The 27,366-nt window shown below is 32.8% G+C and overlaps 1 long non-coding RNA gene across 1 annotated transcript in view, besides 1 other annotated feature; it reads right to left on the bottom strand.

Moving 5' to 3' along the window:
- Positions 1–27,366, bottom strand: part of LINC01720 (long intergenic non-protein coding RNA 1720) — a 176,769-nt gene that overhangs the window by 98,908 nt on the left and 50,495 nt on the right. The window lies entirely within an intron of this gene.
- Positions 22,788–23,987: an enhancer, noted in NCBI's record as "CDK7 strongly-dependent group 2 enhancer chr1:190647894-190649093 (GRCh37/hg19 assembly coordinates)". NCBI's record gives its function as "activates an origin of replication core promoter dependent on BRD2, BRD4, P300/CBP, MED14 and CDK7 cofactors, with strong dependence on CDK7, by STARR-seq in HCT116 cells {active_cell/tissue: HCT116}" and the evidence as "EXISTENCE:reporter gene assay evidence [ECO:0000049][PMID:35650434]".

Genomic DNA, 27,366 nt, shown 5'->3' with positions numbered 1-27,366 from the left:
TTGAGTTCCCACAACATCCTTTTTAAATCATACTATCATCTTCTCATTTTATAGATGAAGAAACAGAGAACCAAGAATATAATTTTCCAAAGTGACACAGTGACAAATCTAAGATTTGAAGTCTGGTGGTTTCTAAAATCTATATTTAATGCTGCTACACATGGCAGCAGAGATCACATTAAACAATGTTAAGCATATAAATATTCCACAAATTAAGAAACTTTGTTCCATTATTGAGTTTGTGAAAAATTGAAATAGCCAAATTTTGAGGGGAAAAAAAGGGAGAGACCCAAGGAAAATAAATGCAACTTATCTTCCTCCTCCTAAAACTGCCCGTCTCTCATATTTTTATTCTGTTCAATATCAGCAAGAGAGGATCTCACTCAAGTGTATAGTGGGGATGGTAACACCACAAACAGATGAAACTTGACCTTTCAAAACTGTTCCAAAGTCTATAACACATATTTTATATATTTATAACAACAAAATTTAGCACAAAGTACAATATTTTGAGTGGCAGTAGAAAACCAATTGTCTCTGAAGTTGGTTGGAGGTTGGTGATACAAAAAATGGTATACATGTTTAAAAAAGAAAAGAGAAAAGAAAAATCTTGGTTTAAGTTTCCTTAGTGTCCTAGTGAACCTGATTCTCTGAAAAAAGTGAAAAACATCTTCCATAAGAAAAATAATGTGATATTGTATTTTCTACATGTATTGGGAAGATCCAGTTGTATATACTGTCTCATATTTTGGAGTAATATTTAAGTATATGTCATAATTTGTAACGTAGAAATTTGCAACATACATAGTAAGCCACAGTCATACTTCTCTGACTTACTTCTTTCCCTTCGTATCTATCACATTTCCCATTTAAGAAATATGTTCTAAACAATATTAATGTTGAATTGACAATGGATTATTTCCAGAGAGGCTTAGGAATGAAATTTATGCATTATTATGATTTTTAATATATCTCATTCATAGAATAAATATGGAAGATGTAGTAATCAAAAACCTTATTAATCAGTTTACTCTTATTTCTTTGGGGAAAACAAGAAGGAAGAAAAGATAAGAAAGCTTTCCTAGCTTGCAACACAGGCTAAGAATTCCCTCCACTTATCACTAGGCAATGTCTTCTTTTATCATTGGAAGTTTTCTTTATATAGACTTTAGTCTATATTGTGTAATTAACCTAGGCAGTACAGCTCTCTTTTGATTACTATTGATAAGATACACCTTCTGTTTTCAACCTTTTACTGGTAACAATCTGTCTTTATATCTAAAGTAAAGTTCCTGTAGACATTTTATAGTAGGATTCTGCTATTGTTAAATCAAATCTAAAGATCCCTGATTTTTTACTGTGGTCTTGAGACTCTTTACATTTAATGTAATTGTAATGTAGTTGGAATGAAATCTACCATTCTGAAAATTATTTTCTATTAGATGTATGTTTTCTTTATTATTTTGTGTTGCTCTTTTCCTGGCATTAAAATTAAGTGAGTATCCTTAATTATACTATTTTATTTTAAATATTGGTATACAGTAGTAGCTAATCTTTATTTTTCTAAGTTGTTACTTTAGATTTGTAATGTACATCTTTAATAATACCAGTCTACTTTCCATGTCTGGTGTAAGAATCTCATGAAAATATACTTCATATTTTCCACTGTTTTTTATATTGTGACCTACATTTTGTTTCTTCATGCATTATTTAAAACCCAGAATACATTATTATGATGGGTGTGCTTCTAAGTAAATTAAAAATAAGAAAAAAGTTCTTACTTTTATTCTCAATTATTTTTAAATTTCTAATGCTTTTTCATTTTTGGATAAATACAAATGACGATCAGATACATGTTTCTTTTGTTTTAGGAACTCCTTCAACATGGCTTACAGTGCACATCTGCTCACAATAAATGTATTCTTTCACAAAAAGACAAATGCTGTGTGTTATCACTCATATGTGAAAGCTAAAAATGAACTTATATGTATATATAAGTTTAACTTATACTGCACTTACACCACAAATCTATACCACAGCTCATAAACATGTGAGTATACGTATGTGTGTGTATATATATTCACGTTTTATGTTCTTTTCTTTTCAAATGTCTAGTAAACCAACTCATTATTTTAAACCTATAAAATTGAGTTAAGGAATCAAGCATTTATCTTTGCTTTCGACATAAACTATCAGTGTAATTAAAAATTTGATGAGGCATAATTGCTCTATTGAAGAATTCCATCTATTAAATTGAAAATGAATAAGGGAATTAAAATATTATGACTTTATTTGGAAGTTTTCAATGAATCAATACATCCAAGCATTGAATATCAATGGCCACTCACATCAGAAAAGAGAGGTATGTACATGTTACATGTCGCCGATGAAAGAACATAACACCAACCTCTGAAATTGAATTTGATCAATCCTTTAACTACAATTAAACATTTTCAGAAACAAAACCAATACTGCACAGCATAGATGGGAATCACAAAATTCAGATTGTGGGAAATTCCATAGTAAAAATAACGCAATTTCTTCCAAAATAAATTACTAAAAGCAAAACAAAACAATGACATGGAAAGAGAACCTATAGATCAAAAGAGCCACAAGAAATGTCAGCCAATCACAACATGTGAATATTTTTAAAAATTGCAATCAAAATGAAAACTGTGTTAAGATTTATATACATACATACATATGTATATATGATTTATTTAATTAGAATGTTCAAAATTATATATTTGAAGTTTTTAACAAATAAATGCTTTTTTGTGTGATGGTGGTATTGTGGTAATATTACAAATAAGAGATAAATTGATGGATGATACATAAATATAATAGAATATATATGGATAAAATAACATATCTGAAATTAGCTGTAAAATGATATGAGGGTGGAGAGAAATATAAATGAATTAGTTTATCATGACATAATTATTGTTGAATCTATGTGATACCACATGAGTATTACATTACTTTGTCTATTTCCTGTATATCCAAAGGTATCTAATAAAGTGTCAAATGGAAATAATAAGGATATTTTAAAATAAGTGACCCAGCAAAAATATCATAAAGGATATTTCAAAGAATTTAGCACAGAATTCTCTCCAAGAAATAAAGATAATATGAAACAACAGCAAGTTTGGTATTATAAAATATTAAATAAAAAAGAATCATATTTCCCAATTTTTAAAGAGATTGTGTGATGATGTGTTTAAAAGGTTGTGCTAGAGACAATGGCCTGCATGGAAAAGTTTCTGTTTCAGTTCGTTCTCACACTGCTATGAAGAAATCCCCCAAACTGGGTAAATTTATAAAGGAAAGAGGTTTAATTGACTCAGAGTTCTGCATGGCTGGGGAGGCCCGAGGAAACTTACAATCATGGCGGAAAGCACCACTTCACAAAGTGGCAGGAGAGAGAATGAGTGCTGAGTGAAGGGGGAAGCCCCATATAAAACCAATAAACTTATCAGATCTCATGGGAACTCCCTCACTATCATGAGAACAGCATGGGAGAAACTGACTCATGATTCCATTATCTCTATCTTGTCCCACCCTTGACATGTGGAGATTATTACAATTCAAGGTGAAATTTGGGTAGAGACACAGAGCCAAACCATATCATTCTGCCCCTGCCCCTCCAAAATCTCACGTCCTCACATTTCAAAACACAATCATTCCTTTCCACCAGTCCCTCAAATCCTTAATTCATTCCAGCATTAACCCAAAAGTCCAAGTACAACGTCTCATCTGAGACAATTCAAGTCTCTTCTGCCTCTGAGCCTGTAAAATCAAAAGCAAGTTACTTACTTCTTAGATACAATGAGGGTACAGGCATTGGGTAAATATATCTGTTCCAAATGTGAGAAATTGCACAATACAAAGGGGCTACAGGCTCCATGCAAGTCCAAAATCCAATAGGAAAGTCATTAAACCCTAAAAGTTCCAAAACAATCCCCTTTGACACCATGTCTCACATCGAGGTCATGCTGTTGCAAGAGGTGGATTCCCATGGCCTTGGACAGCTCCGTCCTTGTGGCTTTGCAGGGCACAGCACCCCTCCCAGCTGTACTCACAGGCTGGCATTGAGTGTCTGCAGCTTTTCCAGGCTCACGGTGCAAGCTGTCAGTGGATCTACCATTCTGGGGTCTGGAGGACGGTGGCCCTCTTCTCACAGATTTACTAGGCTGTGCCCCAGTGGGGACCCTGTGTGGGGGCTCCAACACCACATTTCCCTTCTGCACTGCCCTAGCAGAGATTCTCCATGAGGGCTCTGTCCCTGCAGCAAATTTCTGCCTGGACATCCAGGCATTTCCATACATCCTCTGAATTCTAGATGGAGGTTCCCAAACCTCAATTCTTGTCTTCTGTGCACCTGCAGGACCAACAACACATGGAAGCTACAAAGACTTGGGGCTTGCACCCTCTGAAGCCACAGACCAAGCTGTACCTTGATCGCTTTTAGCCATGGCTGGAGCAGCTGGGATGCAGGGCACCAAGTCCCTAGGCTGCACATAGCAGGGAGGACCTAGATTTGGTTCACAAAACCCTATTTTCTCCCAAGCCCACCAGGCCTGTGATGGGAGGGGCTGCCACAAAAGCCTCTGACATGCCCTGGAGACACTTATTTCATTGTCTTGGTGATTAACATTTGGCTCCTTGTTACTTATGCAGATTTCTGCGGCTGGCTTGAATTTCTCCTCAGAAAATGGGTGTTCTGCAAATTTTCTGAACTTTTATGATCTGCTTCCTCTTGAATGCTTTGCCACTTAGAAATTTCTTCTGCCAAATACCCTAAATCATCTCTCTGAAGTTAAAAGTTCCACAGATCTCAAGGGTAGGGGTAAAATGCCACCAGTCTCTTTGCTAAAACATAGCAAGAGTGACCTTTACTCCAGTTCCCAACAAGTTTCTTATCTTCATCTAGGACCATCTCAGCCTGGACTTCATTGTCCATATCACTATCAGCATTTTGGTCAAAGCCATTCAATAAGGCACTAGGAAGTTCCGAACTTTCCCACATCTTCCCTTCTTCTAAGCCCTCCAATTCTCTAGGAAGTTCCAAACTTCCACACATTTCCCTGTCTTCTTCTGAGCCTTCTAAACTGTTGGAACCTCTGCCTGTTACCCAGTTCCAAAGTTGTTTTCACATTTTGGGGTATCTTTATAGCAGCACCCACTCTCTACAGTATGAGTTTACTGTAGTAGTCTGTTCTCAGAGTGCTATGAAGAACTGCCCAAGACTCAGTCATTTATAAAGAAAAGAGATGTAATTGTCTCACAGTTCCTCGTGGCTGAGGAGGCCTCAGGAAACTTACAATCATGGTGGAAGGCACGTTTTCTCAGGGCAGCAGGAGAGAGAATTATTACTGAGTGAAGGGGGAAGCCTTATATAAAAAACCATCAGATACTGTGAGAACTCAACTATCATGAGAACAGCATGAGGGAAACTGCCCCCATGATCCAAATATCTCCACTTGGTCCCACCTTTGACACATGGAGATTATTAACCCATGAGATGTGGGTGGGGACACAAAGCCAAATCATATTAGTTACTTAATATCCATAAGCTATAGTTTTCTCACTTATAAAATATGAACAATAATAGTACCTATATGAGAGAACATATAGTAACCACTGAGAAAAATGTTCAATAATTCAAGTAATGTTTAAATAACTATCACTGGTATTGATATCATCTCACCTCCAATATCAATATCATTATTAACAATATGTGCACAAATGGTACTATTATAATAGTAATGCTGTGTTGCAGTTGTATTTAACTCTTAAAAATAATTGTTTTGTTTTATATGACAATATCAACAAACTTCAATGTTAACAAGGGCCATAAAAATAATATTTTTATAAGACTTTAACTTAAATAACATCAGTGTAAAACAATTTGGCCTATGTAATCAAAAGCTACTGATCAATAAACCATTCATCAATTAGGATGCAGATAAATAAAACATGTAGATTAATAGCAAAAGTGTTACTTCTATAATGAATTAGTTATATAAATTAGTAAGAAAAGATGTAGTTATTTCATATAAAATTTTAGATTTATGTATTTTAAAACATTAGATTAAAAGAGTTACCTGTTACAGAAATGTTTATTATACAATTAACTACCATTAGATTTTATAAAATAATTAAAAACCAAAAGAATAAAGCTGAAAATGTTAGTGTACAGGTGCTTCTAAATGATAGTACAAAGATATCAGTGAACTATGCTTTTTTTAATCTGTAAGTCAGATACTGAAATGTAGTCTGCAAAATTTTTTTTTGGATGTTAGTATCCATCATAGTTTGTACTGCACTTTTAGTTTATAAAGTTAGTATATACCACAGACGGATTTGTAACCTTGTTTACTCCGGCAGTACTAAATATCCTACATATGAATAGATGAACATACAGACATACCTTACATAGTTTTTAAGCTTGTTCATGTGGGAGTGGATGTAAATTTATGGAGAAAACCCAAAATTACAAAAATTAAAATATTTCATTTGAAAACATTGTAGTAAGACTTTAACATTCAATGTAGTTTGAATCATGAACACTAAAATATTATTACGGCCTGTTCACTTTTGAAAAGCACTTAGGGTGAAGCAATCTTCATTCAATTAGGTCTTATTCAGCTTTCAAGCCATTATGACAAACGACAACTTGTAACTAGGCATAGAAAATAAAATTTGCAATCTATCAAAGGGTGATTAAATTTTATATCAGACCAGCTTCACTTATCCCTATTCTTCAAATATCACCATTTTCTTAAATGTAGACAATTGAAAGTAATTTTTTAAATTAGTCAGCTTGGATGAGATTGCTCTAATTTTGACCTTTATTACCTTAAAGAATGAACTATAATGGATGAATTCCATTAAACTACATTTTTTTCCCAATTTTACTTAGTTAAATAGGCCATAAGAAAAAATTATTTAGTCACTTTGCGAAAAACTTTTTACCTTTAGGATTCTAGTTTAATCATATATATGTATATATATAATCATCTATGTCTTTATTCAAAATATGTTAATACTATTGTCCTCTCTGTCTCAAATAACACATTTTAGGAAGCTGTATTGCTATTGTTTCTAAAGCTTAAGATAAATAAGTAAAAATTGAGTTATCTGAAACATTTCACTCTCAATCATATAAACTGAAGAAAATGTGATAAAAAGTGCTTGTACTTATGCTGATGAATTATACAATTTTTCATAAGTTCCAGAAAACCTCATATTTGATTATATATGTTTTTTAAATATGAAATTTGGATATATATTTGCAAGAACTCACATTCAAAAGATAGCATTTTATAAAAAATCTAAACATTATAAAATTCAATATTAACTATTGAAGCTTAAATTAAATTATGAATATGCTTTAGTTTTTATTTTATAGTTTCAATATTTAAAACTATGTCTTTTAAAATAAATTTATATAAATGAATAATTATTTTTTCAAAATACTATTTATATTTATAAGTTTATTTTTCCCTGTGTCTTAAGACAGAGATTTTATTTTGGTAAAGAGACAAAGCAAACAGTTTTACTTAAATTTATCAAATGCTGAAAAAACGTATCTATCACTTGTAATCTCACCAGGTTGTGATTGACTCGTACCTAGAAAATGATTTCATATACAGATAGCTAGATTTTCTTCAATGATTTTCAGCTTCAGAATTACAACTGTTAAATTCTAAATATGAAGATAATAAGATGGAAACCAATAGAAATATTGGAAAGAAAGTGTGATCATCGTGATTCATATATATATATATATATATATACGTATATATATATATATATACGTATATATATATATATATATATGAACCTGATTCATCAACTCAGATATTTATATATAAATATATCTAGTCTTCTTCCCCTTTTCTTAACATATAGCTCTGAGAATACGTGTAATCTTCAGAGTGATAAGAGTGTCTTTTGTATGCTAATAAGATAAATGGTCACTGACAGCCCTTTGATAGCTTCAGGATGAGGGCTGGTCACATGAAATGCTATGGTATGATTAGAATGTTGGGTCAGCCATACCTTCTAACCTTCAAGTAAGAGAGAGGAGCTGAAGTTAAAGTTGACCATTCCATTCATAGCCAATAACTTAACCAATCATGCTTATTTAATTAAGCTTTCATAAAAACCCAAAAGGACAGTATTTCAAGGCTTCTAAACAGCTGAACATGTGGAGGTTCCTAAAGGATGGTGCTCCAGGGAGGGCATGGAAGCCCCCTCCCTGCCCCTTCTCCCACACCTCACCCTATTCATGTATTCATCTGTTGTTTATTGGTATCCTATGTAATATCCTTTATGATAAACCAGTCAATGTAAGTGTTTCACTGAGTCTTGTGAACTGCTCTAGCAAGTTTATCAAACCTGAGGAGATAATTGTGGGAACCCCGATTTATAGTCAGTCAGCCAAATGCACAGGTTATAATCTGTGCTTGCCACTGGCATCTGAAGTGACAGAGTTATAATTGAATAGTATAAGAGAATACCTAGATGGTGTCCCCTGCAGAACTGATTGATTGCTGATGGAGAAAAATCCGCACAGATATTTTGGTGATCAGAGTAACAGTGTTGATTGTTGAGTGTGAAAGTAGAAAAAACTTTTGGATTTTCAATATCCTTAAAGTAAGGTACAAGTATTTTGCCTTCTATTAAATTGTAGTTAATCACCTGTAGACCACAAGTGATTAATGAAGAACTTCTAAAGTAAAATTTTTGTCACATTTAAAAAAAATAACTGGTAGATTTTGAGGGGAAGTTTCAGGGTTATAGAAAAAGTGAGCAAAAAGTACAGAGTTCCCTTATACTACCCTCCAGTTTCTCCTTTATTAATATTTTGCATTTGTATGGTACATTTCTTATAATTAATGATCCAATATTGCTACATTATTATTAACTAAAGTCCAAAGTTGACATTAGTATTTATTTTTGTGTTGTACACTCTATGGGGTTTGACAAATGTATAATGACACCTAGCAGCCATGACAGTGTCATTGTGCGAAATTGTCCTAAACCTACACATTCTGAGCCAAATTTAAAAATTTGGAGCCAAGGGGAAAAAAAAATAAAGCTACATTGTCTCAGCATGAAAGTTCCAATCAGGTATCTTCTATTTGCAAACATTTTGATTCCATAACAGCAAAGAAGTTAGCAATGTATTTAATTCTTTTTTTTAATTATACTTTAAGTTCTGGGATCCATGTGCAGAATGTGCAGGTTTGTTACATAGGTATACACATGCCATGCTGGTATGCTGCACCCATCAACCCGTTATCTACATTAGGTATTTCTCCTAATGCTATCCCTCCCCTAGCCTCCCATCCCCTGACAGGCCCTGGTGTGTGATGTTCCCCTCCCTGTGTCCATGTGTTCTCATTGTTCAACTCCCATTTATGAGTGAGAACATGTGGTATTTGCTTTTCTGTTCTTGTGTTAGTTTGTTGAGAATGATGATTTCCAGCTTCATACATGTCCTTGCAAAGGACAGGAACACATCATTTTTTATGGCTGCATAGTATTCCATGGTATATATGTGCCACATTTTCTTTATCCAGTCTATCATTGATGGACATTTGAGTTGGTTCCAACTCTTTGCTATTGTGAATAGTGCTGCAATAAACATTAATGTGTATGTGTCTTTATAGTACAATGATTTATAATCTTTTCAGTATATACCCACTAATGGGATTGCTGGGTCAAATGGTATTTCTGGTTCTAGATCCTTGAGGAATCGCCACACTGTCTCCCACAATGGTTGAACTAATTTACCCTCCCACCAACAGTGTAAAAACATTCCTATTTCTCCACATCCTCTCCAGCAAATGTTGTTTTCTGACTTTTTTGTGATCATCATTCTAACTGGCATGAGTTGGTATCTCATGGTGGTTTTGATTTGCATTTCTCTAATGACCAGTGATGATGAGCTTGTTTTGATGTGTTTGTTGGCTGTATAAGTGTCTTCTTTTGAGAAGTGTTTGTTCATATCCTTAGCCCAATTTTTGATGGGTTTTTTTTTTTCCTTGTAAATTTGTTTAAGTTCTTTGTAGGTTCTGGATATTAGCCCTTTTTTGGATAGATAGATTGCAAACATTTTCTCCCATTCTGTAGGTTGTCTGTTCACTCAGATGATAGTTTCTTTTACTGTGCAGAAGCTCTTCAGTTTAGTTAGATCCCATTTGTCAATTTTGGCTTTTGTTGCCATTTCTTTTGGTGTTTTAGACATGAAGTCTTTGCCTATTCCTATGTCCTGAATTGTATTGCCTAGGTTTTCTTCTAGGATTTTTATGGTTTTAGGTCTTACATTGAACTGTTTCATCCATCTTGAGTTAATTTTTGTAAAAAGTGTAAAGAAGGGATCCAATTCCTGTTTTCTGCATATGGCTAGCCAGTTTTCCAAACACCATTTATTAAATAGGGAGTTATTTCCCCATTGCTTGTTTCTGTTAGGTTTGTCAAAGATCAAATGGTTGTAGTTGTGTGGCACTATTTCTGAGGCCTCTGTTCTGTTCCATTGGTCTATATCTCTGTTTTGGTACCAGTACCATGGTTATTCTTATAGTTTCTTATGGCATACATAATTGATTTTACAAGATTTAAAACTACAGGTTTAAAAGTTTTTTCCAATTCTGTGAAGAAAGTCAATGGTAGCTTGATGGGAATAGTATTGAATCCATAAATTACTTTGGGTAGTATGGCCATTTTCACAATGTTGATTCTTCGTACCCATGAGCATGGAATGTTTTTCCATTTGTTTGCTTCCTCTCTTATTTACTTGAGCGGTGGTTTGTAGTTCTCCTTGAAGAGGTCCTTCATATCCCTTGTAAGTTGTATTCCTAGGTATTTTATTCTCTTAGTAGCAATTGTGAATGGGAGTTCACTCATGATTTTGCTCTCTGTTTGTCTATTATTGGTGTATAGGAATGCTTGTGATTTTTGCACATTGATTTTGTATCCTGAGACTTTGCTGAACTTGCTTATAAGATTAAGGAGATGTGGGGCTAAGAAGATGGTGTTTTCTAAATATACAATCATGTCATCTGCAAACAGAGACAATTTGACTTCCACTCTTCTTATTTGAATACGGTTTATTTCTTTCTCTTGCCTGATTGCCCTGGCCAGAACTTCCAATACTATGTTGAACAGGAGTGGCGAGAGAGGGCATCCTTGTCTTATACCGGTTTTCAAAGGGAATGCTTCCAATGTTTGCCCATTCAGTATGATATTGGCTGTAGGTTTGTCATAAAAAGCTCTTATTATTTTGAGATACATTCCATTGATACCTAGTTTATTGAGAGTTTTTAGCATGAAGGGGTGTTGAATTTTGTCGAAGGCTTTTTCTGCATCTATTTAGATAATCACGTAGTTTTTGTCATTGGTTCTATTTATGTGATGGATTACGTTTATTGATTTGCATATGTTGAAATATCCTTGCTTCCCAGGAATGAAGCCAACTTGATCATGGTGGATAAGCTTTTTGATGTGTTGCTGGATTTGGTTTGGCAGAATTTTATTGAGGATTTTCTTATCAATGTTCATCAGGGATATTGACCTGAAATTTTCTTTTTTTGCTATGTCTCTGCCAGGTTTTGGTATTAGGAAGATGCTGGCCTCATAAAATGAGTTAGACATGATTCCCTCTTTTTCTATTGATTGGAATAGTTTCAGAAGGAATGGTACCAGCTCCTCTTTGAATCTCTGGTAGAATTCGGCTGTGAATCTCTCTGGTCCTGGACATTTTTTGGTTGGTAGGCTATTAATTACTGCCTCAATTTCATGACTTGTTGTTGGTCTATTCAGGAATTTGACTTCTTCCTGGTTTAGACTTGGGAGGGTGTTATGTGTCCAGGAATTTATACCTTTCTTCTAGATTTTCTAGTTTGTTTGTGTAGAGTTGTTTATAGTATTCTCTGATGGTAGTTTGTATTTCTGTGGGATCAGTGGTGATATCCCCTATATCATTTTTTATTGTGTCTATTTGATTCTTCTCTCTTTTCTTCTTTATTAGTTGGGCTAGTGGTCTGTTTTGTTGATCTGATCTTTTCAAAAAACCAGCTCTGAATGGTGATCATTAAAAAGTCAGGAAACAGCAGATGCTGGAAAGGATGTGGAGAAATAGGAACGCTTTTACACTGCTGCTAGGAGTGTAAATTAGTTCAACCATTGTGCAGGACAGTGTGGTAATTCCTCAAGGAACTAGAACTAGAAATACCATTTGACTCAGTAATCCTATTAGTGGGTATATACTGAAAAGATTATAAATCATTGTACTATAAAGACACATACACATTAATGTTTATTGCAGCACTATTCACAATAGCAAAGAGTTGGAACCAACTCAAATGTCCATCAATGATAGACTGGATAAAGAAAATGTGGCACATATATACCATGGAATACTATGCAGCCATAAAAATGATGTGTTCCTGTCCTTTGCAAGGACATGTATGAAGCTGGAAATCATCATTCTCAACAAACTAACACAAGAACAGAAAACCAAATACCACATGTTCTCACTCATAAATGGGAGTTGAACAATGAGAACAATGGACACAGGGAGGGGAACATCACACACCAGGGCCTGTCAGAGGGTGAGGGACTAGGGGAGGGATAGCATTAGGAGAAATACCTAATGTACATGACAGGTTGATGGGTGCAGCAAACCACCATGGCATGTGTATACCTATGTAAAAAGCTGCACTTTTTGCACATGTACCCCAGAACTTAAAATATATAAAAAAAGAAACATAAAACAAAGTTTTAAAAATATTGTGATTTAAGCACATTATTTTTTATGTATCAGTATATCCAGTTATATTTTTGGTAATTAGGTGGGCATGAAGGAGATGTGAGATCTGATTGTTTAACAAAGGAAAACAAAAGATGGTAATAAGTTTATTTCTGGGCATAGTAAAGTTATATTTAAGAGCTCTTCCAGCATAGAGGTTCTTAATTAAACATCAATAAATGTGCTCCCCTATAACCATGAGTTATATACAATGTTACATCCTGTTATATATCAAGTAGATTTATCCACTTGTGCTTATTAGACTTATAGGTTACCATGTTAGCTTTGTTAGAATTCAGAGTTTTCAGTTAGGTTAGCTGCTTTATAATGGATTATAAATTAAATAATTTCTAAAATCTAATGTGGGAGAAAACCAAGAAAATATTAATGTATCTTATTATTTCATCATTCTAGCTCTGTTCATTACAGTGGCTTGGAAACATTTCCACAAGTTATAAAGATATTTATCTCTAAAACTTAACTTTTTATTGCTAATGTTTTCTTCTAAAATGAACCTGAGCTTATCCGAATACCTTATTGCAATAAAGCAAGATTATGTAAATTTTATGAAAGCTTTTGTTATTTAAAGAACACAGCTACTTCATCTTCCATTGGTGGGTTTCTGATAAATTTCACTTTAAGAATATCACATATATTCAATTGAAAATCAGTTACACTGGCCACAAACCAATCAAAATAAAAGCTATGTGGCCATGCTAACCCTCAAAAAAAAAAAAAAATTACTCTACTTTCATAGTACTATACTCAGATTGATTTTATGAGGAATATAAAATTTGTTAATGTTTATTAGTATTTATCTTTACCAGCTTATAAAAATAATCACACATGTTTACCCTCAGAAACAAACTTAGTAGTGTTTCAGACTCCAAATGGTTTTGTCCACCAATTACAACAAAGGCTTATGCTATCCACTCCAACTTGTACAAATGATAAGCGTAGGAAGGATTCTCAAGCATCTCTTTACAAATGAAAAAATAAAGAAGAATGCATTAATGAGGTATGTTAAGACATTTCATTCAATGCTGCAGTGATTAGGGTAGTTCATAGTTATTCCATTTATTTTCCTCTGGGCTTGTGGTGGATATCCTTTTCCACTTCCTTCCACATAAATTTCCATAGCCAATGATGTGTGTCACTTCTGGAAGAAGGCTTTAAGATCTAGTATGCAATTTGGTGCCTTTGCTTTTATTATTGAGTCAATAATTCTCAGAATATGGGAACAGGACCTCCCTAATTGGAACAGCATGGGACAGATCCCTCTAGGGATGACAGATATGTGTACATTGTGAGTTAAATAAAACAAAGATAATTATATTTGTTGCTATAATATAATTTACCCATACTCTCTATACAGTCACATAAGCTAGAGTTTCTACTGTTTAAGTTATGGAGTAAACTGACAATAATTGGGCTACAAATAAAATCAAGCTAAGTAAAAGAACAAGCCAGGCTTTATCCATAACAACTACAAAAAAAGTTATGAAGACCTCCACTCCCAGGTAAATTCTTCACAAAGTAAGAAAATGTCTACTTTAGACAGTGTCAGGTCTTCAAGGCAACTTTGTGGGTGTTCTTTGCATTGGGGTACATCATGCTTCTTTTTTCTTGACAATTAGCCAGACTCATCTTATGAGTAATGTTAAAAACTGTGAAAGATAGAGCAAGGGAGACATAAAGCTCTAGTCCTCAGACAAAACAACAAAAAAATTACTTAAATGACAACCACTCAAGTAATCCATGTATGGTGGTTACTTTGAAGACTATTTATTGCTGGCACGAGTATTATAAACTAGTGAAAATATGTGTTTAAAGAACAAAAGTTTGCCAAAACAGAGAAAACTGCTAAATTTGAATGCATTAGCTATGATAAATGCTCTGTCTTTTATCTGACATTTATTATCAACACAGAGACCTTAGTATAAATACGTTAATAATTGAAACATAGTTAAATAAAGGCGACTTCAAGTGAAAAACTACTTTAGTTATGCTAAATATGGAATACATAAATCTTTTTCTATGTAAGTGCTCATACCCACAACAGAGATAACAAAGCCTGCTGTTTTGACCAAATGATAGAAGAAATAATGCAAGACAGTAATGCTCTTTATATAATTTCATCCAGCAAAACAGTCAAACCAGTAAAAATAAGCAAGAAATTTAGCTAAAGGATATAATGTACAAAATATTCTTTTGATTAATCCTCCACATTTTTTATAAAACACAACTATTTAAAGGCAGTGTAAAGTAACCCAGAAAAGAAAGAAATTGCCTCAAAAGAAGGTAATCCCACTACATTTATGTTTTTTTCCTCTAAGGAAATTCCCCAGTCAGGTAATGCAAAGCAGCCAGATTGATGCTACACCAGAAAATAATTACATAATTCCTAGCAACCAAAAAAACAGGAACCTTAGAGTAATGTGATATGTTGTCAATAAGACATAATTGCCCTTGAAATATTGTTCATACTTTTTTATCTATATATGCATGTTTTACAGCCAAATTTCTTTCCCTACCTAAGTAATTTAAATATTTAAGTTAAAGGGGCATTTAAGAGAGGATCAAAATATCATCATTAGTGTAATAAAGATCAAATTGAAACAAGTGGTTTATGTGTAGATCAATAATGGACAAAGTAGGAAGACTTACTCAAGCATTCATTGCAACTCTCTAATACTGAGCTATTCCATGGCTGTAACTAGACCAGTGAATATGTTGTGAACTGACAAAAATCTCCATCCTCCCCTCTCCCGCAAAAAAAAAAGGGTTAAAAAGTGACTGAGAGGGTGAAATGAGACTCCCCATAATTGGTACAAACATTTTTGCTGAGACACTTTCTAATTATTAATTAAGCAAGTGATATGAAAAACAAATCAGTAATACAAAACAGAGAAAACTTTGCATATATGTACCAAAAATTGTGAAAGAATATTTAGAGCAGCATTGTCTTTAATATAAAATATATATATTAACTTGAGAATAGATAAATATACTTAGCATATCTACACAAAGGAATACTATCCACCTTTGGATATATGTGAATAAATAAGTTGTATGTAAATTGAATGTATCTCATAAATGTTATAGAGTGATATAAATAAGTTGCAGAATATAATTGCCATTATTTAATTTACATAATATATAAAGGAGAGAAATAAAAGTATAGATGGTTTAAGAATACGTATATACAATATGAGAAATGCATTAGAGTAATCTAAACCAAATTCAGAATAGTGGTTGCTTATGATGCAAATGAAGGAATGAAATCAAGGAAATTTATACAGAAGGCTGTAATGATATTGGAAAGAGAGTACTTCTCTGCTTAATGTTTGTCAGATACATTTTAAATACTCTTTAAAAAAATACAAATAAATAATTTAACCAACTGTAAAGGAGAAAGTTAGAGACTATCTGTTATCATAAAATATAAGTTAAAAGCTGTATTTATTTTCCATTTGATAGTGGTTTATTTATCATTTTATGGCAGAATATTTCTTTGGGATAACTATTACATAGGTCATATTTTGGAAAACTCTAAGTAAGTAACTTATTCCAGTAAAGTCTTATGAAGTTCTAAAAATATAGGCCAAGATTAGTAGCATATTCTACAGAGAATAGAAGCCATTTAATATAGGAAGAAATGGTCCTAGAAGACATAATAGCTCCTGAGGGTGTCACTGTACTAAAACATGGCACAAAACTTGCCATAAAACTGACCAGCAAAATATCATGCTGTAAGTTACCTTCTTATATGTTTCCGAGGGGACATTATGAAAAAGGTATTGGGAGACAGTAGAAAGTGATGGTTAAAATGAGGGTTTTCGAATCACAGTGCGTGATTGTGAATCATGGTTCAAACACTTGTTTGTTTTCTGATTTGGGGAAAGTTAATTATATCATCGAGCCTTAAATTCCTGAGCAATAAAATGAAGTTAGTATAGTCTCTAAGTCGTAGAATTATTAAAGGGTTTCCATGAGATAAGACAGAAAATTCTCAGTGCTTCTGAAGGCACTTTAATGAATTGCTCAATACATGTTTATTTTTATTATCAAGCTTCTGTAGAGTTGATCTTTAACATAATTATCTAGAGGTGTTTCACATTTTTTTATTTTAAAATAAACATACATTGTAATTTAATTAAATACATGTTTTACTAAAAATGTAGTAATTGTCAGTCTTGGGATTGCTCAAAATGAATCACTTCCTCTAAACGTGCCAACCAATAACCTGCACAAATGCGATCACATTCTGTAAAATGGTAGTATTATTCCGCTTTTTAAAAGTCAAACTTCTGGTCTCCTGACTAGACCAAAAAGGAATCAAGAGCAAACGACTAAGAAAAACTGCATTTGGATAAATAAAATAGAGAATAGTTAACCAAGAACAATTACCCTTATAGTTACACTCTAAAGCGCCACAGAATTTAATCGAGAAAGAAGAGCTCAGGCCCATACTTTTAGACTACTTATTACATTAAATACTAGCAGGCTTGTTTTTTCTTATTTTACAGTCCTTATATTATTAATAACTGTTAATTATAAGATCACAACCATGGGATATATTTATGGTAGTAAGAAGCTTGATAGATCATATAACAAGATGGATACATACAAAGATAAAAGTTGAGGCCACATTTAATTTGTCTTTCTAGTACCCAGTATTAATTACCTGAAATACATTAAGTATAAGCAAGTATTTTATAAACACTTCTTGGTAAATAATTGTGATGTAAATTTTAAAATTAAAGCAGAGAAAGCCACAAGAAATGATCTGAAAGTAATAAATGTCCAGAAAATAGCAATATATGCTTTTATACCTTGAATTCATCAAAATATTATATGCAAATAAATATTTAAAATGCTGACATGTTTCAAGAAGTGGTGAAATGGAAGTCAGTGAACTCTGTATTAGGAAGCAATAGTAGTTGTTAAAGGAAGTTCACTTAAGTAATTTATAAAATCTGAAATAAAGTTATCTGAAGATTCTAGACAGCAGAACTTTGATACCTAATTATTTGATTTATAAAAATAATAAAAAATATTTAATATTATGGTATTAAAGTGGCATGACAGCTAGCATGGGGAATAGATTGCTATCCTTTCTGCAGTCTTTCAACAGATAACAGTTGTCTTACAGGTAGCTAATTCATTTCTTTCATGTTAGAAGCCTTTGGTTATGAACAGATAATAAATGAATGCCTTTGACATGAACATTAAGAATAGGCTTCATACTCAAATATCCTTCATTCTTTTACTCCAGTATTTACCATCCAGTAATATAGATGTCCCTTTCTAATTTTCTGAAGACATTACGTTTTTACTTCAAAATATTGAATATAATTTGCCTTCAGTATCAGCTTCCCATATGCTCTCTACTACTGTACTTGGTTAGACATTTTGAAGGTGCTATTATCAGTTTGGACATAAGTTTGACTTCATTTTTTTTAAAAGAAGAGACCTCTGCTTTCACCTGTGATATACACAGAACTTGAATATCCTCACATAACTTGAATATCATTGGAAATTAATGAGTTTTCCTGAATCCATTACAGAACTGATGTTGCAGTGCAAACCTCACTACAAACTCTGGAGAGACAAGTGAATCCTGAAATTCACAGTCAAAATCTGTAGAAAAAGAAAGACCTAAAATCAACTACCTAAGCCTCCACCTGAGAAAACTACAGAAAGAGTAGCAAATATATCCCAAACCATGTAGAAGAAAGAACATGTTTTTAAAAAGGAGGAAGTGATGATATTGTAACAGCAAAACAATAGAGAAAATCAACAAAACAAAAGCTAATACTTTGATAAGTTAAATTAAATTGATAAACTAAAATAATAATAAGAACGAATACACACACACACACACACACACACACACACACACACACACACACACACAATTACCCATATCAGAAAAAGAGGCGGGGACTTCTGATCCATAGAAATTACAAGGGTTGTATGGTAATACTATAAATAATTCTATGCCTGAACGTTTGATAACATAGATAAAAATCACTGGTTCAATGATAAAAAGTACCAAACCTTACTCAAGAAAAAAAGAGATAATCTGAATAGCTTTATATATATTAAAGAAATTAAGAACAAACAATCTTCCCCCCAAAAAACATAATGCTTAAATATTGGTGAATTTTCTAAAACATTGAAGAAAAACTAATAGCAATTTTTATAATATCTTTCAGAAAATACAGAGGGAACAATTCCTAAACCTTTTTATAAGCTGACATTACCCAAATACCAAAACCAGATAAGTACATTACAAGAAAAGAAACTAAAAATCAATATTTCTCATGAATATAAAGTTCCTTAATCCAGTATTAATAAACAGAATCTTGCAGTACATCAAAAGGATTAAATAGTATGCCAAGTGGAGTCATTTCAGAAATGCAATACTACATATTCAAAAATTGATAAATATAAGATTAATCACATTAAACTAAAATAAATGATATGCCATATCAATAGATGGAGAAAAAGTACTGGGCAAAATTTAAGATGCATTAATGATAAAAACTCCCAATAAACTAGGAATATATTGGGAACTCCTTTAACCCAATAAAGGAAAATATAAAATGCTACAGTTAATATCATACCTAATGATGAGTTAAATACTTTCACTCTAAGTTTGCAAAAAAGGCAAGGATGTTCTTTCTGACACTCCTCCTTATTTAAAATTGCAATAAATGTTTTAGCTAGTGAAATAGAAAAGCTAAAAGAAGTGAAAAATATACAGGCTGACAAGGAAGAAATACAACAGTCTTCATGTGTATGTAACATGATTGTCAAAATGAATGAGACTTAAGTGTAAAATGAAAAACTATAAAACTCCTAGAAGAAAATATAGGGGAAACTCCATGTAACCTTGTGTTTGGTTATCTTTATTTTTAATCTAAATCAAACACATAAGCTATGAAAGAAAATACTTTTGAGATGGGCGCTATTAAAAAAGTCACTGCAGTCTTATTGCAGAAACATAATAAAGAAAAACTAAGAAAACAAACCACTTTTTGTAGCAAAATTTTCCAAAATAATGTCAACATTTATTTCATATATCTTATTTTAATATATTCATAATTAATCTGCTTACTTATGTATATGTTTGTATTTACTCATTTATGTTTGTTTTTCTTCTAATTTCCTCATGTAACTCAGGTAACTCATGTACATATTGACTGACTTCTGATATTAAAATGTATAGACCAGTCATATTAAATTTATTGCTTGGTAATTGTGGTAATAATGAATGCTATTCTTTAACAATTTTCATTCTCCTATCTGTAAATGATAAAAATGAACTCTATACTTGGAATTAATTTTTGGATATATGTCTTGATTTGAACAATGAAATGTAAAAAAAAACTATAACTTCTCAGTGAAAACTTCAAACACATTGCACAATTAAGTTCTTTCTCTATTGATAACCCAATGTCCTTATAATGTGTACTGAAATCTACATAATCTTGGCCTTCTTATCTCTCTAGTAATGTCTGCCAACTGTTCTCCCCCTTGGTCTCTCTGCTCAGCCATATGATTATCTCACTCTGTGTGTATTTGATGTTCTGTTGTATCAAGGTATCTGTGATTGTTGTCTTCGCCTCTATTGCTTCTTTCAGGTTTCTTCTTAAGTATCACATTATCAGCTTTATTTTCAGTACCATTCTATGTGTATTAATTAGTGATGATTTTCATATATTTTATTTATTTTTCTCTCTGTGTTATATTCTGGGAGAATTTATCAGTATTGCCTTCCTAGTCAATACTCCTTTCTTTAACAACGTCTAGACTTTAAAATTATTTGGTCTCTTGAGTGCTTTTATTTTTTCTTTTTAAATGTCAATTTCTGCCATTTTTATTTTCAAAATTTCTTAGATTATTTTTGTACTGACTTATTCTTCTTACAGCTCTGCCTGTTGCAATTTTTTGTTAATATAATGTCTATTTTAGTGAATATTTATTATATCCCATGCCCCTATCTGAACATCCTAAATATACTTTATTTTAAATCTTTATCTGAGTGCTATTTAAAATTAATATGATTTAATGTACTAATAATTAATTTTGTCGATTGTCTTAGAAATAAATTTGTTTTGGAGTTTAGATATATTTGCTTGGTTATAATTTCATTTTAAATTATGCATTGTTTATTATGTGTAACTATGTAATTTTCTGCCTCGTAGTACCTGGATCTAAGTCGAAGTTCACAAGGAATTTTAGAGCTCCTTCTCAGCTTGTTCCCAAGGACATTACAGAGTCAATCACTGACTCCACAAGTGGTGTGGTAGGCAGAATAATGGCTCCCAAATGATACCCACATCCTAATCTCTGCAACCTCTCATTTTACATGACAAATGATGATTTTGCCGATGAAATTAACATTGGTAGTAAATTGACCTAAGCAGAAGGAGATCATCCTGGGTTATCTGATGAGCTTAATATCACAAGGCTATTATGAGTAGAAGAGAGTGGCAGAAGAGAGAACCAGAGAGATGACAGTGTGAGGACTCAGCCAATTTTGCTGGCTTTGAAAATGAAGAAATGGTGGCATGAACAACAGAATTTGGCATCTTTGAAAGCCAAAAAGGGGGGGAAAAATAAGTTCCTTTCCTAGAACTTCCAGAAAGGAATACATCTTTGTTTTAGGTCAATGAGACCCATTTTCAGATTTATGATCTCCAGAAATATAAGATAATAGGCTTGTATTGTTTTAACCATGAAGTTTACGTTAATTTGTTACAATAGCAAGATAAAACTATTATATTAGATGTAGCATGGTTTAGATTCTGTCTGAAACGCTGTTCCCTTCTCAGTACCTGTCCTATCTCCCTAGGTGCAGCGCTTCCATTTTCAATTGTAGGCATCGGCCGATTGCAATTTCCTAGCACCCATTATTTCTCTAAATTCATATAACACTTTCAATTAGTTATGTATCATTTTTCATATATTATGAATGAAGACACTAAAGCTCAAAATTTCTTGCCAAAATTTCAACATTCAGCAAAGCCTAGATGCAGAATTTTAACTCAGGTCTTCTAATTCCAAGTCCAAGTACCTATTGCATCCATTTCCCTACTTTGCAAAATAAAGTTTCACCTTGTGCAAAACAGTTAAAAAAGAAAGAAATTAAAAAGCTGACATTTTTACTCTCTTGTACTTTCTTCATGTTTGTTATCAAATAGCCATACACTTGTGTGTAGCACTAATGTGAAAAACTATAATGTTGTTATTGTGTGATGATATGAATTTGATTAAAATTATTATACATTTATTTTCTTTTTCATTTTTTACAGATACTCAAATATCATCTTGTAGAACTACAACTGTATTCAAGAGGTACCTTCAACATCTCTGTTCCTATTTCAGTGAGCCTCAGGATTCACTATGGACTTCTCACCTCCTCCATTTCAATGAATTTCTGTGATTCGTAGGATGCCCACAGCAACAGATAAGAAAGCAGATGCAGAAACCAAAATACTTTTGCTCTGGGATAAGAAGTCACAATTATTTCTCATCAGTGCTGCTTCACTAGCTCCGATTTTTTCCAGAGCTCTGGAGCCTGCTTGTTTACCTGGACTTAGAGGAGTTAAAAGTACTCGATAAATTATAAATGCCTGCAGGGAAAGACAAGATGTTAATCAATTTGTATTCTCTGAATCTAGCTCAGTGCTTGAATAAGGTGTCCAGTAAAAGCTGTAAAAAGAATGCATGTTGAAATCTTGCTCCTGCGTGCCTTCGATGAACTATCTTGTGAACTTCCTGACTAAAGAGCAATATTATGTATAAGTACCTGGTTACTTAGCAGGACACTGATTACTAACACTGTGTTTCTGACTATGGCAATATGACCTGAATTTAACTTGTATAATTGAAAATTAATAGCATGGCTTGAAACAATGCTTAAGCATAAACACAAAATTAACATTTGTCAAACTAAACGGGAAAAGAAAAAAAATATATTTTTTTAATTTGTTCTGGTGAACAGAATTCCTAACTTTTCTTTTTCTGCTTTTTCAATATTGCAAGTGAACAGAGATTTCCTAGAGAGCAGTGGGAAATATATAAAATTATAAAGTTTCATGCTGAATTTAAATTTTGACCAGCTCCTATAATATTTATTATTGTTGTGTGAATTGCCTTGTAGCTATGAAAACTGGTTTCTCATTTGAAGGCAGCTCGTAGTCAGGAACTGATTTTATAATTGAAGGCATTAGGAAATTCAACGTCATTAGTGTAATTATGGAAAGGTGATTCATAGCTTTGGGATATTTTTCTTTGTTCAAAGAAGACAGTGTCTCTAGGAGACAAACAAAGTAGATAGCTCAGTTTAATGAATAAATATTTGTGAAATACTGAAAACTGAAAACTTTTGGTTATAAGTGTAAGAATTGTTCATTGTGTAAAAAGATGTACTTTTACATATAATTATTGATATTTTTCTCTAAAACGTAAAATGTGAAATGTGATACAAATAATTTTTTGAAACAATCAATAGTAAGGAAAATACAATGCTTAAAACAGGCAGAGAAACCAAACAGTTACCTAATAAATTCTCACATAATATCATTTTTAATATTTGTTTTCCTCTTGAAGAATAAGTATCATTTATTAAGTATCATAAAATAAAACATTACTCACTGGCCTGGCCCGGTGACTCATGCCTGAAATTCCAGCACTTTGGGAGGCTGAGGAGGGCGGATTGCTTGAGCCTGGATTCGAAACCAGCCTGAGAAAGGTGGTGAGACCTCGTCTTTATTATTGTTTTTGTTTTTGTTTTAAATTACTTGGAGCTTCTTTCTAATGGCTTCCTTACTTTTAAAAAAGCCAAACATTCCTTCATTTATACAATGTGGTTCTAAATTCCTTCTGCAATTTATTTTTATTCCCTAAAAACATGTAGATAATAGCTATTAATAATAAGAAATCTGATTTTTCTTCTATTTTGTATCAGTCAAAAATATTATTTTAAGAACATAATGAAAAGTATTCAATATATGGTTATCAGAATTTTTTACACAATTTTAAAATGAAGAAATACCATTCGTCTAAACTAGTAGAGGGAGAACAGTACTAGGGGATTAAATTAACGTCTTACTTTTCATTATTAGACACACTTACATGAGAAAAGGCAAATAAAGCAAAACATAAGCAAAGAGACTCTTGCAAAAGTCAATGTCTATGACTTAATTAGGATAAGGCAAGTGAAGAGAAACAAATGAATATAAATAGCAGTTGTGTGCTTCCATATAAAATATATGGAAACAAATGACTACTGGTACTTTGCTCTCCATTAGGATAACATGTAAAGACGCAATCACCTTCAACACTCAAATAATAAAACCCATATTTTATCCACACTCAGCTTCTATCAATCCCACTTCATAAATGCATTTCAAACTCTTTCCACCCTCTGTATCTTCACCACCACCACATTCTTAGCTACCATAATTTCTAATCTTGAGTAGTAATGCAGTGCCCTGATAAGAAGCATTTTATAGAGAAAATGGAAAGAAGTTTGAATAACTACTTAATTATCTTGACACATACATAAATAAATAAATCTTAGACAAGGATGAATATAAAAAATAATGTATAAATGTGTCTTATAAGGCATTTAGATACAAAACCTAAAGGTCTTTTTACTTAAACCAGTCAAAATGAATATAGATAATACTGCATTTAGTCAACTATAAATGTACATTTTTCTGCATTTTTAACACCTCTGAAATTGAGATGTGTCATAATTAATGCTATTATAATTTGTAAAGTACGCTAACTCAAGTAGTTGCATATCAACTTGCGTTACCTGTTCTACCTGCTAACATTTCCACCCAGAAGAAATATTTTATTATCAAATGGCAGAAACAATTTTCACAGTAGCCACATAAATAGGCTTTGGATCACAAAAATCATAAATTACTCCCGTGTTGACCTTCCACTATCAAAAAAGTTTTAAACCCTCCCAGAAAGTTTAGTAGAAAGAGAAAGAGTCAACGGTACGGTGGTAAGAGCATGCACTCTAAATCATGTTGCTTAGAATATATACTAGATGTGTCAAGTGGCAAGACACTTAACCCTCTGTGCCAACAAACTGCAGATAACAATAATTATTTCAATGTATTTTTGAAGATTAACAGATATTACATATCACAATGCTTAATGAATAATATGTACTCCAATAATTATATTATATTTTGATGCTGATTACTCATGTTCAAATGAGGATTTAAGGCCTCATTAGAAATTTAGGCAATTGGTTAATCTACTTCTCTATTCAATCAACATATAGTCAGTGCTATATGTGCTGAAGGCACAGTATTTTCCCTGCTTTAGAGTAGCAATGTAATGAGGGAACCAAAGTTAAAAAGCAAAAAGAAGTGAATTTTAATGTTGATAAAATCATGCCATACTAAGAAATGTGCCTATATTAAGGTAAAGTAATAAACTATAAAGTTGTTTAACAACATTTTTATTCCACTTTTTTTCTTTCCAGTTCCTTATTGAGTTAAAACTTGTAAAAACTGACAGGTTTGGGTGGCTCATGCCTGTAATTCCAGCATTTTGTGAGGCCAAGGTGGGCAGATCACCTGAGGTCAGGAGTCTGAAACCAGCCTGCCCAATATGGTAAAACCCTGTCTCTACTAAAAATACAAAAATTAGCTGGGCATGGTAGCATGCGCCTGTAGTCCCAGCTACTAAGGAAGCTGAAGAAGGAGAATCACTTGAACCAGGGAGGAGGTGGTTGCAGTGAGCCGAGATTGTGCCACTGCACTCCAGCCTGGGTGACACAGCAAGACTCCGTCGTTAAAAAAAAAAAAAAGCTATTAACATAAACTTCATAGTGTTTTTTAAAGAAGCTACACATACAAGTTCTTAGTTGCTTCCAAGTTTTTAAGTTTTCATTTTTAATTTCTGTATTAAAATGCTTTTACCCTGCTATAAACAATACCTGAGACTGGATAATTTATAATGGAAGCAGGTTTATTTGACTCACGGTTCTGCATAACTGAGGAGGCCTCAGAAGACTTACAATCATGGCAGAAGGTGAAGGGGAAGCAAGACAAGAAAGGCTCTCTCATTTTTAAACCATCAGATTTCGTGAGAACTCATTATCATTAGAACAGCATGGAAGAAACTGCCACCTTAAACCAATTGCCTCCCACCAGGCCTCTCCCTCCACATGTGGGGATTACAATTAGAGATGAGATTTGGGTGGAGACACAGAGCCAAACCATATCAATTTCCAAGACCTTATCTTCTCTGTATTTTGTGTAACATATAAGGTGCCCCAATGTTACTTTTAGTTAATGTTTACATCACATAAAAAGTTACTAGTCTTCTCTGAACATGAACTTTATAAGCATAACATTTTTATCAACTTTGAATGCACATTTTAATTTTACTAAGAGTTCCATATACCTTCAGTGTTTCTTCTAGAAATAAGCCTAAACATTTCCACATGCTCACATTTGTATTAAGGAATGAGGCTAAATTAATTGTGTTTATATACTCAAAACTCTGTAAAAATAAGCATCTTATTAGAAATTAGGGTAAAAGAAAACAAGATACAAACAAAAAGCACCTTTGTCATGTCTAAGAAAACCAAATTTTCTATGCTGAGAGCCCAGTGATTTTGCTGAGCAAATTTAGGTTTTTGTTGTAATTAGTTTCTATTTTTATTTATTTTGATATTTAGAGTTCTTTTTATCTACATTAAGAAGAACTCATTGAAATCAAATTGTTAATCATAATGTTAAAAAATATGTGAAAAACAATTTTGTATTCAAATATGGTTCTGCACCAAACTCATGAGGCAACTAGCTTCTAAGAAGCAGGGTTTATGCCAGGCTATTGCTTTAGAGACCATGAATTCAATTGTGAAAGTATCATTCAAATTTAAGTATTTAATATTCTTAGTAATCTTCATTTAGTTCAGTATTAATTCTATTGAGGAAAAGTCCAAAAATGTATTTTTATTGTCAAATTAACAGAGCTAAATTGACATATCTAAATAATAATCTCTTAATAAAGCCTGAGGTAATACCTATTATGCCTCAAAGGAAAGCAATCAAATTGAAAAAGGCAATATCCTCAATATCCTCCTGGGAACAACTTTTCTTTTCTTTTTAACCCTATTCCCCAGAGTCTCATTCTTCTTATTATAATGCAAACATAAATTGCATAAACAATAAAGGAATGCATGCTTCCAGAAAAAAGCATGAGAATAAAAGAAAATCACATGGTGATATAAAATATATAAAAACAATACTCATCCTGACAGACTGTTAGCAGAATGGGAGTCCTCCTATTCGCCTTTGGAACTTAGTATTTGACCATTTTGTTAGTAACTTTTTCACAAGGGTGATGCTTAATACTGAGTGTCAACTTGATTGGATTGAAGGATGCAAAGTATTGATCCTGGGTGTGTCTGTGAGGGTGTTGCCAAAGAGGTTAACATTTGAGTCAGAGGGCTGGTAAAAGCAGACCCACCATTAATCTGGGAGGGCACA

This window comes from Homo sapiens, chromosome 1, assembly GCF_000001405.40.
Source record: "Homo sapiens chromosome 1, GRCh38.p14 Primary Assembly".
NCBI lineage: Eukaryota > Metazoa > Chordata > Mammalia > Primates > Hominidae > Homo > Homo sapiens.
This window is presented reverse-complemented; position numbering and strand designations above follow the sequence as displayed.